General features: G+C 51.5%; 1 protein-coding gene across 13 annotated transcripts in view, besides 1 other annotated feature; it reads left to right on the top strand.

The window, feature by feature from the left end:
* The window catches only part of PTPRS (protein tyrosine phosphatase receptor type S), a 135,305-nt gene that overhangs the window by 24,029 nt on the left and 95,542 nt on the right, over positions 1 to 15,734 (top strand). The window lies entirely within an intron of this gene.
* Positions 15,064 to 15,564: an enhancer, noted in NCBI's record as "H3K4me1 hESC enhancer chr19:5301231-5301731 (GRCh37/hg19 assembly coordinates)". NCBI's record gives its function as "activates a minimal SCP1, AML or CMV promoter by ChIP-STARR-seq in naive and primed H9 embryonic stem cells {active_cell/tissue: H9 hESC(naive and primed)}" and the evidence as "EXISTENCE:reporter gene assay evidence [ECO:0000049][PMID:30033119]".

The raw sequence follows: 15,734 nt of genomic DNA, 5'->3' as shown, positions 1-15,734 counted from the left end.
ACTGAGGCAGGTGGATCACCTGAGCTCAGGAGTTCGAGACCAGCCTGGCCAACCTGGTGAAACCCCGCCTCCATTAAAAATACGAAAATTAGGCCAGGCGCGGTGGCTCATGCCTGTAATCCCAGCACTTTGGGAGGCCAAGGCGGGTGGATCAGTTGAGGTCAGGAGTTGGAGACCGGCCTGGCCAACATGGTGAAAACTCTTCTCTACTAAAAATAAAAAAATTAGCCGGGCGTGGTGGCGTGAGTCTGTGGTCCCAACTACTTGGAAGGCTCAGGCAGGAGAATTGCTTGAACCCGGGAGGCCGAGGTTGCGGTGAGCCAAGATCACAGCACCACACTCCAGCCTCGGTGACAGAGCGAGACTCCGTCTCAAAAGAAAAAAGAAAGAAAGAAAAAAAAACCCAATCAGCAAATCTGGGGCAAGAGGCATTCAGGAGAGCTGGACTCGGGACACAGGACTTTTCAGGAAACATGAACCATTTATTTGACTTACATTTTCCATTTACGTATGTAGTTCAGGAAAGAAAAGTGTTCAAAACCTGTGTCCAAAAGAGTATTAAAAAGCCCTTTCTCACAGTGGCTAATCTGTAATCCCAGCACTTTGGGAGGCCGAGGCTGGAGGATTGCTTGGGGCCAGGAGTTCCACATCAGGTGGGGTAGTATAGCAAGACCCTGTCTCTACAGAAAATTTTAAAAATTAGCCAGGTGTGATGGTGTGTGCCTGTGGCCCCAGCTACTGAGGAGGCTGAGGTGGGAGGGATCGCTTGAGGCCAGGAGCTCTAGACTAGGCAGGATAAGATAGGACCACCCCCCACCCCGGCCCCAGATCTGTGCAAATTTTTTAAAAAATTAACTAGGTGTAATGGCGTACAGCTGTGGTCCCAGCTACGCAGGAGGCTGAGGTGGGAGGATCGCTTGGGGCCAGGAGTTCCAGATCAGGCAGGGCAGCATAGCAAGACCCCATCTCTGCAAAAAGTTAAAAAAAAAATTAGCTAGGTGTGATGGCGTGTGCCTGTGTTCCGAGCTCCTCAGAAGGCTGAAATGGGAGGATTGCTTGGGTCCAGGAGTTCCAGATCAGGTGGGGCAACATAGCAAGACGCCATCTCTGCAAAAAACTAGCCAGGTGTGATGGCATTTGCCTATTGTCCCAGCTACTCAGGAGGCTGAGGTGGGAGGATCGCTTGGGGCCTGGAGTTCCAGATCAGGCAGGGCAACATAGCAAGACCCCATCTCTGAAAAAAATTTTAAAAATTAGCCAAGTATGATGGTGTACACCTGTGGCCACAGCTACTCGGGAGGCTGAGGCAAGAGAATTGCTTGAGGCCAGGAGGTCAAGGCTGTGGTGAGCCATGATTGTGTCACTGCATTCCAGCCTGGGTGATGGAGTGAGACTCTGTCTCAAAAAAAAAAAAAAAAAAAAAAAAAAAAAACCCTTTTCAAATAAAAATTCTCCATGAAAAGAAAATTCAGACCAATTTAAGTGGCAGGGTTTTTTATTTCTACTTTTGCAATAAAATATGGAAATTGCTGGAGATTGATAAGGGAGGGGAATAGAGAATGGGAGGCTCTGGGCGTGAGTGATGGGAGGAAAAGTCAGGGAAGGCTTCCTGGAGGAGGTGGCGGTGGCTGATCTAAGAAGTGAAGGTAGAGAAGGAGTTAACTGGGCAGTGAGGGGAGGGAAGTGTGTTCTAGGCAGATGGAACAGCATGGGCAAAAGCTTCCCACACAAGGTCTTTGTGAAGCATCAGTTGTTTCACTTTGTGGCCTGCACTGGGCCTAGTGCATAGTAGGTGCTCGCTAAATGCATCATGGTAGATATTCAGTTGGTGGGAACTGTCCTCAGTCCCAAATCTGAATGACGCCATGTGGGTGTTGCTTTCCAGCAACCACGTTCTGAATGATCCAAGGGTCAGAGGTTTGAGGTTCATCTGAAGCCCCTGATCTAAGCCCCTGATCTGAAGCCCCTGTTGAGCAGGGATAACCTGTGATGTCTCGAATCTTCAGCTCTCTGCCCTGGCTACTAACAAGGCTCTGTCCTCAGGCACAAAGTGGACTTGAAAGGTGGAGAAACAACTTGAAATGTGGAGAAACAGCTGGGTGTGGTGATTCATGCCTGTAATCCCAGGCACTTTGGGAGGCCAAGGCAGGAGGATCACATGAGCCTAGGAGTTCAAGACCAGCCTGGGCAACATAGTGAAATGCTGTTTCAAAAAAAAAAAATTTTTTTTTAAATAAATAAATAAATAAGAAAGGTGGAGAAACCCACATCAAACTGACATTAGTGAAAAGCTGGGGAGTTGATTGGCTCTTGAACCAAAAAGGCTGATGTTAGAATGGACCACCTTCAGGCATAGTTGGATCCAGGGGCTCAAACAAGATAAGCAGATCCAGAGAGATTGAGCCATTTATACCTGAGGCTGCACAGCTAAGAGGAGGCCAAATCATGATGCAGACTCTGGGTTGCTTTGAATCCAAAGTTCGTGCTGCTCAGCATGACTCAGAAGGTTGATCCAAGTCAGGGAGGTCACGACTCTATCTTACTGAGGTTCATGGAAGGGAAATGACATGCTTAAGGTCACACAGTGTTCAAGGAGCAGAGACTGGCACTGAACTCAGCTGAAGCTGTGGTCTCGATTGATTGATAGAGACAGGATCTTGCTCTGTTGCCCAGGCTGGAATGCAGTGGCTGTGATTGTAGCTCACTGCAGCCTCGACCTCCTGGGCTCAAGCGATCCTTCCACCTTAGCCCACTGAGTAGCTGGGACTACAGACACACGCCACCATGCCTGGCTAATTTTTTTACTTTTATTTATTATTATTATTATTATTATTATTATTATTTGTGGAGAGAGAGAGAGAGTCTTGCTGTGTTGCCCAGGCTGGTCTTGAACTGCTGGGCTCAAGCAGTCCGCCTGCCTCAGGCTCCCAAAATGCTGGGATTACAGGTGTGAGCCACTGCGTGCCCAGCAAACCTGTGGTCTTAGAACCACGTTGCAGGGTTTCTTCTTAAGCATGGATTGAACGGTGGGTTGGTTCCGCTGAGGCAGGAAGGAGAAAAGGCTCTCCAGGGGCCACCTTGACCTTGGGCCAGGCCCTCCCCACTCCATCTAAGAAGCGCCCACACCAGCCCCTCCTGCCGCCTGCCCTTGATGGTCGTGACATTTCCCGTCCTCTTGATAAACACATCACACGGAGACAGGTAGGGAGGTCCCCGTTGACTCTGGCTCAGTGCCAGCCGTCGGCCCCGGCCAGGCCTGCCCATCTCTGTCACAGGAGGAAATGAGACTGGCAGCGATTTGTTTTCCGACGAGCCAGCCGCCTCGCTCCCCAGCACCCGGTTTCCTATGCGTGTGTGCTGACTGCGTGGATTCCCCAGAGAGCATTGTCCAACCCATCCCTGTGCAATGGACCACTCTCTTAAGTCTCACCATCTCCTCCTGGGTACACCCCTGTCTCTGCTCACTTTGCCCTTGAGCATCTCCAGGGCACTTATTAGGCGTCTGCTGTTTTTACCAGGGATCAGGCGTAGGCTGTCAGCGAGCGTTGTCACCAAATCCCAGGCCAGGACCGGGCACGGTGGCTCATGCCTGTCATCCCAGCACTTTGGGAGGCTGAGTCGGGCGGATCACCTGAGGCCAGGAGTTTGAGACCAGCCTGGCCAACATGGTGAAACCCTGTCTCTGCTAAAAATACAAAAAAATTAGCTGGAGTTGGTGGCGTGCGCCTGTTATTCCAGCTACTTGGGAGGCTGAGGCAGGAGAATCGCTTGAACCCAGGAGGTGGAGGTTGCAGTCAGCCGAGATCGTGCCTCTGCACTCCAGCCTGGGCGACAGAGTGAGACTCTGTCTAAATAAATAAATAAATCCTAGGCCAGGTTTTGGGGCTCAGCAGCCTGGACTCATGTCCCCCCTCTGCTGCCGCCATGCTGTGTGACCTTGGACAAGTGTCTTGACCTCTCCGATGCTCAGTTGCCTCATCTGTAAAATGGAGACAATTCGAATTCAATGAGATATTATGTGTAAAAGACTTTGAACCATGCCTGGCACGCAGTATGTGACCTATAAATATTAGCAGTTATTGTTACTATTGCTATTATTTTATTTTTATTTTTAATTTTTTTAGAGACAGGGTCTTGCTCTGTCGCCCAGACTGAAGTGCAGTGGTGTGATCATAGCTCACTGCCGCCTCCATCTCCTAGGCTCAAGCAGTCCTCCTGCCTTGGCCTCTCAAGTGGCTGGGACTACAGGCATGCGCCACCACGCCTGGCTAATTTTTGTATTTTTTTGTAGAGGTAAGGTCTCATTATGTTGGCCAGGCTGGTCTCGAACTCCTGGGCTCAAGCAATCCTCCTGCCTCAACCTCCCAAAGCACTAGGGTACAGGTGTGAGCCACCATGCCTGGCCCTGCTGCTATTATTATAGCATTTGCAAATATTGGCATATTGTGCTCACCTTCTCGTCCCACACATCCTATGCCCGCTGTCCCTGCCATGCTCTTTCACTGACAGTACCAGGACGCACACAGCCAGGGATGTCTTTTTCAGGGCTGCGTACTATGCATTCTTTTTCAGGGCTGTGTAGTATGCCATCTACATGCCCAGCCCCTCCTGACGGACATGCCCATTTGTCTCTCTCTTTTGCTTTCCTATGAGATGTGTTGCAGGGCTCGTTCACACACAGGCCTCACGCACAACCAGGAGATGTCATGTGGGATGCGTATTTCTTTCTTTTTTTTTTTTTTGAGACGGAGTCTCGCTGTGTCTCCCAGGCTGGAATGCAGTGGCGCACGATCTCGGCTCACTGCAAGCTCCGCCTCCCGGGTTCACGCCATTCTCCTGCCTCAGCCTCCCCAGTAGCTGGGACTACAGGTGCCTGCCACCCCGCCCGGCTAATTTTTTGTATTTTTAGTAGAGACGGGGTTTCACCATGTTAGCCAGGATGGTCTCGATCTCCTGACCTCGTGATCCACCCACCTCAGCCTCCCAAAGTGCTGGGATTACAGGCGTGAGCCACCGCACCCGGCCCAAGGGATGCACATTTCAATATTCACTCCCTCTCGCCCAGTTACCCTGCAGAGAGCATCTGCCATCTCCACCCCAGCCGCCAGCCAGGGAGCTCGGGTCTCCCCTGAACAGCTTTGATGAGACAGGAATGTTCTTTTTCTTTCCTTGGCTGCTCCCAAGATACTTATATCCCCACCCCCAGCCTCCACCCAGGGGATGGTTTCAGGTCTAAAATTTTCCTTCAGACCCCAAGGAAAGCTTCTGTGTGTTCAGAAAACAACCGTCGTGTCCTTTCTGGGCCCAGGACCCTGCTGGGGGCCTAGAGCTCCATCACTGGATACTTATTGAGCACCTCCTATATACCAGGCCCTGATCCTCACAGGGTCAGGTGTTGGGAACAGAGTGACGGAGAAGACAGAGGGAAAAACCCTTCCCTCGTGGAATGCATCAGAAGGACAATGAACAAATAGGGGCCGGGCGCAGTGGCTCAGCCTATAATCCCAGCACTTTAGGAGGCCAAGACGGGCAGATCGCCTGAGGTCAGGAGTTCGAGACCAGCCTGGCCAACATGGTGAAATCTCATCTCTACTAAAAATACAAAAGGCTGGGCACAGTGGCTCATGCCTGTAATCCCAGCACTTCGGGAGGCCGAGTCAGGTGGATCACGAGGTCAGGAGATCGAGACCATCCTGGCCAACAGGGTAAAACCCCGTCTCTACTTAAATAAAAAAAATTAGCTGGGCGTGGTGGCATGCACCTATAGTCCCAGCTACTCGGGAGGCTGAGGCAGGGGAATCGCTTGAACCAGGGAGGCAGAGGTTGCAGTGAGATCACGCCACTGCACGCCAGTCTGGAGACAAAGTGAGACTTGGTTTCATAATAATAATAATAAATAAAAATACAAAAATTAGCCGGGTGTGGTGGTACAAGCCTATAGTCCCAGCTACTCAGGAGGCTGAGGTGGGAGGATCACTTGAGCTGAGGAGTTCAAGGCTGCAGTGAGCTGAGATTGCGTCACTGCACTCCAGCCTGGGTGACAGAGTGAGACCCTGCCTCAAAAAACAAAAACAAGAAACACCCAAAAAACAAAAGCCATAAAGCCAATAGATTAAATATGTGTTAAGGATTGACTGTATGCCATGCCTTTAAGAAAAATAAAGTTGGCCAGGCGCAGTGGCTCATGCCTGCAATTTTAGCACTTTGGGAGGCCGAGGTGGGCAGATCACTTGAGGTCAGGAGTTTGAAACCAGCCTGGCCAACATGGTGAAACCCTGTCTCTACTAAAAATACAAAAATTAGCTGGGTATGGTGGTGGGCGCCTGTAATCCCAGCTACTCGGTAGGCTGAGGCAGGAGAATTGCTTGAACGGGGGAAGCGGAGGTTGTAGTGAGCCGAGATTGCGCCACTGCAGTCCAGCCTGGGTGATAGAGTAAGACTCCATCTCAAAAAAAAAAAAAAAAAGAAAAGAAAAAAGCTAGAGGAATTGGTTGGTGGCAGGGAGGGGCTGTTTTAGCTACAGAATCAAGACAGGCCTCACAGAAGAGGTGACATTTCAGTAAGACCAACAGGAATAAGAGAATGATGTTTGCTGACATCTGAGGGGAGGGTGTTCCAGGCAGAGGGCACAGCCCGTGCAAAGGCCCTGAGGCAGGACCGCACCTGGCATGTTGGAGGAACAGCGAGGAGGCCTGTGTGGCTGGAGCAGAGTGAGGAGGGGGAGGAGGGGAGGGGAGAGCAGGGAGAGGACAGAGCAGGTTGTGCAGGCCCTTGTGGGGCACCAGGAGGACTTGGGCGTTTACTCTGAGGGAGGTGGGAGCCAGGGAGGGCTATGGGCAAAGGAGGAACCAGCCCTGACCGACGTGTTCACAGGCGACCCCTGGCTGTTGCAGAAAGGACAGACTGTGGGGGATGAGTGCAGACGCTGGGGGACCAGAGCAGAGGGGACGGCACAGATCCAGGCCAGGGATGATGGGGGTGGACCAGGCAGGGGCAGAGGAGGGGTTGTATTCTAGAAGGATTTTGCAGAAGGGTTGGCTGGCTTCTCCAAGTGGTTGGCTGCAGGGTAGGGTTGAGATGAGTCAAGAACGACTCCCAGGCCTCTGTCCTGAACATCGGTAAAGACGGAGAAGATGAGCTGAGGTGGCGAAGATGGTGAGAGAGGCAGGCATGGAAACGCCCCCATTAGCAGGACGCCTGCGGAGGTTCCCAGGAAGTGGTGGGCTGGTTCTCCCTGGAGACATGGAGTTGGCAGCTCCTGACTTAGCCCATAGCGGGTTTTCAGGTGCTACAAGCAAGCCATTGGCTCTGGACAAGGCACATCCTATCCTCAGCCTCAGTTTCCCCATCTGAGATAAATAACTGGCACAACAAAACGAGTTAATATGCGTCAAGCACTTAGAGAGTGGCCTGCATAGACAGGGCCCTGGGAGGGGCTGTGGGCTACACACTTGGGGCTGGATGGGGCTAGAGGTTAGGACAGGAAGGGAGGTCTAATTTGCAGACCAGGGGGCTGAAGCCCAGAGAGGTTAAGGCACTTGCCCAAGGCCACACAGCACGTGGCACAGGCTCAACCCCACTAAGGGGCCTGCACACTCTGCTCACCACCAGAGCCAGCCAACCCCCCCTTCCTCCCTTCTCTCTCCACCCCCGGAGCTGCCAGCTCCAGTTTTTGGTGGTTTCCAGGCTCCCCTCAGTTCCCACTTGGCACTCACCTCCCACCTCCACACACTCTGAGCCCAGGGCCTAGTGCCAGGCAGGCTGTAGGGCCAGGGGGTCTTGGTGAGCATCCTCCACTTCTACACCCAGGGTTCCTTTTGCCTCCCTGCCCCGTACCCCACCCGTGCTCCTGGTAATGAAGGGAGAGGAACGGGAGGGAGCGAGCAAAATTATATACACACGAACATACAAAAATTAGTTTAGGATCCGGGCCAAGAACCACTTGCGCTTGGCCAGGCATTGTGGGTAATTCATTGCTGATTACCATAAAAGCCATAGCCTGGCTGACAGGCGGCTGCGGGGCTTTTGTTTAAGATTCTGATGAATATATAATCTCTCTCCCCGCCTGGAGCCCACAGTTCCCCTACCCCCAAGGCTGCCAGGTCCCTGCCCACCCTGCTCTCTTCCCCCACTGCTGAACGTGAGTCTGCAGGTTCCCCGAGGGGCTGGCAGCCACCTCTGCCGCATGGAGTCTGCCCCTGTGACTGCGTCGGTGAAGCTTGGCTTGGCACTCGATGCTCACCACCAGCCACAACTAGCCCAGGCCTTGCACTGTGGCTGCTGCCCTGGGCCTGATTCCCTCTCTTCCGTGTGGATGTACTGGGCTTCAGCTGTTTGCTTGGCCCCATGCTGGGACTGGGGACACTATAGTGACTGATGCAGACAATCCTTGCCCTTAAGGAGTCTGGGGGGACGATGGATGATTAGACGGGCATTTATCTATAGTTAAAGAGTTCCCATCTCCTGCCCAGGAGATGCAAATTAAAACAAGATATCATTTCTCACCCATCCATTTAGCAAAACTGTTTGAAGTGTGGTATTATCCAGGGTGGCAGCGTCGAGGGGAACCAGGCCCTCCGGGCGTGGCTGGCAGGAGAAGAAATCGGCATCTCTGTGACACCACGTCTTTTATTTTTAATATGTTGTTCTGGCCAGAGAATGCGTACACATGGGATACAATTGAGGATGCAGAGAAAAATGCATGGTGGAGAATCTCCAGATCCTCTCCCCTCTCTCTTTCCCCAGTAGCAGTCTCTTCCCAGAACAGGGTCAGTAGAGTTTTTCCATAAAGGACCACCTTGTAAATCTTTCCAGCTTTGCCGGCCGGATGATCTCTGTCTACTACTCAACCCCGCCATTGGAGCGTGAAAGCAGCCATAGACAAACACGTAAACTGGTGGGCGTGGCTATGTGCCAATAAAGCTTTATTTATAAAAACAAACGGTGGGCCGGATTTGGCCCCCGATATGGCGATGATAAAAATGGTCTCCGTCTACGCACCGTGGTACAGTCGCCCTGAGCCGAATGTGGCTATTGAGCGTTTGAAATGTGTCCAGTGCAACCGAGGAACTGAATTTTAAATTTTATTCCATTTTATTCCGTTTAAATTTAAACAGCCACATACGGCTCGTGGCTACGGTTTTGAAGAGCGCAGTTTATCTAGAAATCTTCTGTGAACATTTAGTAGGCGGCTGGATTTATATTCCCTTGTTTAACCAAATGGCAGCATCTTCTACATGCTGTTCTGTACCTTGTTTTCTTCCCCCCCACTTAAAAATATAGTATCTTAAAAGTAATTTTATAATTGTACATCTGGTATTCTCATTCCTTTTCACAGCTGTGATACTGATCTCATAACACTAAGAGATACTGATCTCATAACACTAAGATACTAATCTCTTCGATCATTATTTGACCTCTTGTACTGTTATTTTTATTTATTTATTCATTCATTCATTTATGTATTTATATTTTTGAAATGGAGTTTCGCTTTTATTGGCCAGGCTAGAGTGCAATGGCATGATCTCAGCTCACTATAGCCTCTGCCTCCTGAGTTCAAGCAATTCTCCTGCCTCAGCATCCCGAGTTGCTGGGATTACAGGTGCCGGCCACCACACCTGGCTAATTTTTTTTGTATTTTTAGTAGAGACAGAGTTTTGCCATGTTGGCCAGGCTGGTCTCGAATTCTTGACCTCAGGTGATCTTCCTGCCTCAGCCTCCCAAAGTGCTGGGATTGCAGGCGTGAGCCACTGTGCCTGGCCCCCTTGTACTGTTCTTTACTTAACCAATCTCCTATCGATAGACATTCAGGTTGCTTCAAGCCTTTTGCCGTGAGTACTTTCTCCACGTGTCATTTCACGGGAAAGTGTCTGCCGGGTAGATTTCTAGAGGTGGTGTTATCAGGCCTAAAGGGAATGTATAAACTTAACTTCGGAAGATAATAGCCAATTGTCTCCTCGGGGACTATTAGGACCTACTCATTTCCGACTGTGTAGGAGGGGAACCTGCTTGTTTAGAACAAGCTGTAACCCGACCTTCCACCCCAGCTGCCCTTCACTGGACACCAGTGAGAGACAAAAATGCTTCCCCAAGGGGACCTGGGAGATGTCAGCATGGAGATTCACCATGGCATTGGGTGAGGTTGGGAAAAAATGGAGGCAACCGAAGTGTCCACAGGGAATTGGGTGATAAACGCCCAAGGCACAGCCTTGCCACGGAAGATCCTACCACAGGCGAGAAGAGGCCTGGGCTGCGTGTGCTCAGTAGTTACAAGTCATGTGAGGAACAGCCATGATTCGAACAGAATATCATTTTCACATACAAAAAAAAAATCACCCTGGGCCAGGTGTGGTAGTTCATGCCTGTAATCCCAGCACTTTGGGAGGCCGAGGCCAGCGTATCACTTGAGGTCAGGAGCATGAGACCAGCCTGGCCAACATGGTGAAACCCCGTCTCTACTAAAAATACAAAAATTAGCCAGGCGTGGTGGCGCACGCCTGTGATCCCAGCTACTCGGGAGGCTGAGGCAGGAGAATGACTGGAACCCAGGAAGCGGAGGTTGCAGTGAGCTGAGATTGTGCCGCTGTACTCCAGCCTGGGTGACAGAGTGAGACTCCGTCTCAAAAAAAAAAAAAATCACCCTGTATTCTAGAGTTACCTTTGATCAATAACTTCATGAGAAAAAGACACAAAGATAGATGGTAATGGCAGAGGTTGCTTCCAGGGGAGCATTAGAGGGACTCCCTCCCTTCCTCAAGTATTTGTACCTATTGTGCTGCTGGTTCTCTCTGTTCCAGGCATGAGGAATTCGCCCTTTTTTTTTTTTTTTTTTTTTTTTTTTTTTTGAGACGGAGTCTTGCTCTGTCGCCCAGGCTGGAGTGCAGTGGCGCGATCTCGGCTTACTGCAACCTCCGCCTTCCGGGTTCACGCCATTCTCCTGCCTCAGCCTCCCAAGTAGCTGGGACCACAGGTGCCTGCCACCACGCCCGGCTAATTGGAATTTGCCTTTAAAAAAAAAATATATATATATATATATATTTATTTATTTATTTTTCAGAGACGGGGTCTCCCTCTGTCACCCAGGCTGGAGTGCAGTGGCAGGATCATCACTCACTGCAGCCTCAAACTCCTGGGCTCAAGCTGTCCTACCACTTCAGCCTCCCAAAGTGCCGGGATTAGAGGCATGAGCCACCGTGTCCAGCTTCTAGGCACAAGGATTTTTTTGTTTGTTTGTCTGAGATAGGGTCTCATTCTCTGTCACCCAGGCTGGAGTGCAGTGGCACTATTATAGCTCACTGCAGCCTCGACCTCCAAGGCTCAAGTGATCCTCCTGCTTCAGCCTCCTGAGTAGCTACAACCACAGGCATGCCTCACCCTGCCTGGCTAATTTTTGTATTTTTTTGTAGAGACAGGGTCTCGCTGTGTTGCCCAAGTTGGTCTTCAACTCCTGGCCTCAAGTGGTCCTCCTTTCTCAGCCTCCCAAAGTGCAGGGATCACAGGCATGAGCCACCATGCTCGGCAAATAATAGCTGTTCTGAGGAGAATTTAGTAAGTGTGCCTGGATGGTGGGAAAAGCCTGGAATAATAGCTGATGTGCTCACTGAGCACCTGCTGTATGCCCAGCTCAGTTCTGAGTGTTTTGCTCCTGCTAAGTGCTTGATAGGGGTTTTTATGTCTTGGGGAGATGGGGTTGGGTGTAGATCCTAACACCTGTTCAGAGAGACCACCTTCTCCTACCCAGGACCTGAGAGCTTGGGGAGCCACCTAGAGAGGTCATGCCCCCACCTGAGCTCTGGGGGGGTAGTGGGAAGTTCTGCCACCCCACCCCCCCTCACCAGCCCCCCATGTCCCTCAGTTGCCTCTCCCATGGGATGGGACCTGGCCCAGGGTCCCCACCCTCTCCTTTTCTGTTTTGTTCAGGGCTAGTTAGGTTTCCTCTTCCACACCTCTCTTGCCTCCAGACCTTGGCATATGCTGTTCCTTCTACCTGGGACACCCTTCCCACTCCCCAACCTCCCTGCCCCAGCCCAGCGCAATTTCTCCCATCCTTCTCATCTTAGACATCACCTCTTCCTGGAAGCCTTGCGACATCCCCCATTACAGCCCTGATCTCTTTTTGTTTGCTTTTTGTTTTTAGAAACGGAGTCTCCCCCTATCACCCAGACAGGAGAGCAGTGGCATGATCGCAGCTCACTGCAACCTCCACCTCCCGGGTTCAAGTGATTCTCTCACCTTAGCTTCCTGAGTAGCTGGGACTACAGGCGTGCACCACCATGCCTGGCTAATTTTTGTATTTTTATTTTATTTTTTTGAGACAGAGTTTCTTTTCGCCCAGGCTGGAGTGCAATGGTGTGATCTCAGCTCGCAACCTCTACCTCCTGGATTCAAGCGATCCTCCTGCCTCAGCTTCCCAAGTAGCTGGGATTACAGGCATATGCCACCACGCCTGGCTATTTTTATTTTTTTATTTCTTATTTTTTTTAGTAGAGATGGAGGTTTCACCATGTTGGCCAGGCTGGTCTCAAACTCCTGACCTTGTGATCTGCCTGCCTCGGCCTCCCAATGTGTTAGGATTACAAGTGTGAGCTACCACGCCTGGCCAAGACCTGGCCTTTAACTTCCAGGGCCCCCTGTCTGCCTCCCACAGTCATCTTGTGTCCTTAGTGCTCAGCCCAGAGCCTGGTATACAGTAGGTGCCTTATAAATGCTAGAGGGATGCTGAGAGACGAATCATTACTGGGGTGTGACAGTTTTTCATTCCTCAAATGCTGACATGGCATGGAGGGCCATAGCCCTCCGCGCTTCTGTTTATTTTATTGTTATTATTATTTTTTGAGACAGAGTCTCGCTGTGTCACCCAGGCTGGAGTGCAGTGGTGTGATCTTGGCTCACAGTAACCTCCGTATCCCGGGTTCAAGCGATTCTCCTGTCTCAGCCTCCTGAGTAGCTGGGATTACAGGCGCATACCACCACACCCAGCTAATTTTTTGTATTTTTAGTAGAGACAGGGTTTCACCATGTTGGCCAGGCTGGTCTTGAACTACTGACCTCAAGTGATCCACCTGCCTTGGTCTCCCAAAGTGCTGGGATTCCAGGTGTGAGCCACCGTGGTCCTCACTCCTATTACCCCTCAAATCCTGCCCCTGCTCACTCACTCTGCCCGCTCTCTGGACCAGCCCCCCTCTCTGCACCAGTCCCCCTCTCTTTTTCCAGAACTTAGTGTGTTCGTTCCCACCTCGGGGCCTTTACACGTGCTGTGTCCTCTGCCCCTGTCCTCTATCCCCATCTGTCGCTGTCTCCCCAGAACAGAAGCCCTGAGAGGTTATCTGCCTTGATCTGTACTGTGTCCCCAGCACTCAAGACAGCTCTAGCACACAGTAGGTGCTGGAGTTTCAGCTGTGACCAAAACCAGATCCCACCCTTGTGCACGGGGACCAGGAGGAATTAGGAGCTACACCAAGCCCTGCCTTGGAGACCTCCCTGGTTTGTGCCTCGGTTTCCTTGATCTTTACAGACTTCAGACCCACAAAAATCAGCCCCGGGCACCAAGAGCCCATTTTCCCTGGTGCTTAGATGGGGAAACTGAGTCCCAGAGAGTGGTGAGGACTGGTTCAGGCCCACACAGCTCCCTTGGGAAGAGAACTTGGGCTTCCTGCCTCCTGTGAGCCACGGTTTTTTGTTGTTGTTGTCTTTTTTTGTTTTTGTTTTTGTTTTTGAGACGGGGTCTCTCTCTGTCGCCCAGGCTGGAGTGCAGTGGTGCCATCTCGGCTCACTGCAAGCTCTGCCTCCTGGGTTCACACCATTCTCCTGCCTCAGCCTCCCGAGTAGCTGGGACTACAGGCGCCCGCCACCACACCTGGCTAATTTTTTTTTTTTTTTTTTTGTATTTTTAGTAGAGATGGGGTTTCACTGTGTTAGCCAGGATCGTCTCGATCTCCTGACCTCGTGATCCGCCCGCCTCAACCTCCCAAAGTGCTGGGATTACAGGCGTGAGCCACCACGCCTGGCCGAGCCATGGTTTTTGAAGTCAGGAACGTACCCCTAGGCATGGGGCTGTTTGGGGGTGGCCTCTGGAGGAGGCATCCGGCAGCCCAGAGCTGCACACACCAGCAATGACTCCCTTTCAGCTCCTAACACGTCAGGGAAGAAAGCCCAGGGAGATTCAGGGTGATCTCAGACACTAACACCTGCCAATCTCTTTGTAACAAAATCCCATCCGGCTGCTGGTGTTCGCAACAGTATCCAGCGACCATGGGATAACTGGGTACTATTTTCATTGTAACAATGTTTCTGGTGACTTTCAAGGCAGGGCAGAATCTTTTGGGTCTTCCTTAGAGATATGCGATACTGTTGAATTAGTTTCTTAAGTAAATTGGTTTAAGGAAAAGACGGGAGACAGTGGCATGAAAGTTGTTGTTTCTAGACAGGGCCTCCCTCTGTCACCCAAGCTGGTGTTTAGTGGCGGGATCTTAGCTCACCTGCAACCTCAAACTCCTGGTCACAAGCAATCCTCCTGCCTCAGCCTCCCAAGTAGTTGGGAGTACAGACATGTACTGCCATGCCCAGCTAATTTTTAATTTTTTTTAGAGACGGGGGTCTCTCTTTGTTGCCCAGGTTGATCTTAAGTTCTGGCTCAAACGATCCTCCTGCCTTGGCCTCCCAAGGCTGGCCGTGCCCAGCCTACATGAATGATTAAATCGGGGGGCCAAGTGTGGTGGCTCACACCTGTAATCCTAGCACTTCGGAGGGCCAAGGCAAGGCGGATCATTTGAGGTCAGGAGTTCAAGACCAGCCTTGCCAACATGGTGAAACCCCGTCTCTACTAAAAATACAGAAATTAGCTGGGTGTGGTGGCATGTACCTGTAACCCCAGCTACTCAGGAGGCTGAAGTGGGAGAATCACTTGAACCCAGGAAGCGGAGGTTGCAGTGAGCTGAGATTGCCGCGCTACACTCCAGCCTGAGCGACAGAGTGAGACTCCATCCATCATCCAATCAATGGGGGGTATTGGGACATGGCAGAGTCATGAGCAAGGAGGGGAGGATTGGGGGGAGACTGTGATCACCCTTCCTGGGGACTGGTGGGTGTAGAGGGGGAGGATGCGCTTGAAGGAGAGACCAGCAGGCATCTTGCAGAGAGGATGTGGCCAGATCCATTAAATGCATTTACAGCCAGGTGTGGAGGCTCATGCATGTAATCCTGGCACTTTGGGAGGCTGAGGCGAGTGGATCACCTGAGGTCAGGAGTTCAAGACCAGCCTGACCAATATGGTGAAACCCTGTCTCTACTAAAAATACAAAAAATAGCCAAGCATGGTGGTGGGCACCTGTAATCCCAGCTAATCGGGAGGCTGAGGCAGGAGAATCGATTGAACCTGGGAGGCAGAGGGTGCAGGGAGCCGAGATGGTGCCACTGTACTCCAGCCTGGGTGACAGAGCGAGACTCTGTCTCAAAAAAAAAAAAAAAACAGCAACAACTTTAATACACTTGACGCTGGCTCAAGGTGGGAGACGGCCTGGCAGGGGCCCAGGCTGGCAATGGGGCCTGGCGGGGGGACCGGCCATTCTGTCCCTCCCCCGTCCTCCACTTTTGGCTGAGTCAGCATGTTGGCGCTGCAGAGCTGACTCCGGCTGTGGCCTGGAAGCCTTTTCCAAGTTTCTGCCCTTGGGGCTGGAGCAAGAGCTCCCAGAGGATGCTTTGCTGGCCAGCCAGGGAGATCCAGGTTCAAAGCCCAG

The sequence above is a fragment of the Homo sapiens genome, chromosome 19 (assembly GCF_000001405.40).
Source record: "Homo sapiens chromosome 19, GRCh38.p14 Primary Assembly".
Lineage (NCBI taxonomy): Eukaryota > Metazoa > Chordata > Mammalia > Primates > Hominidae > Homo > Homo sapiens.
The sequence above is the reverse complement of the archived record's forward strand: the minus strand, read 5'-3'. Positions and strand labels throughout refer to the sequence as shown.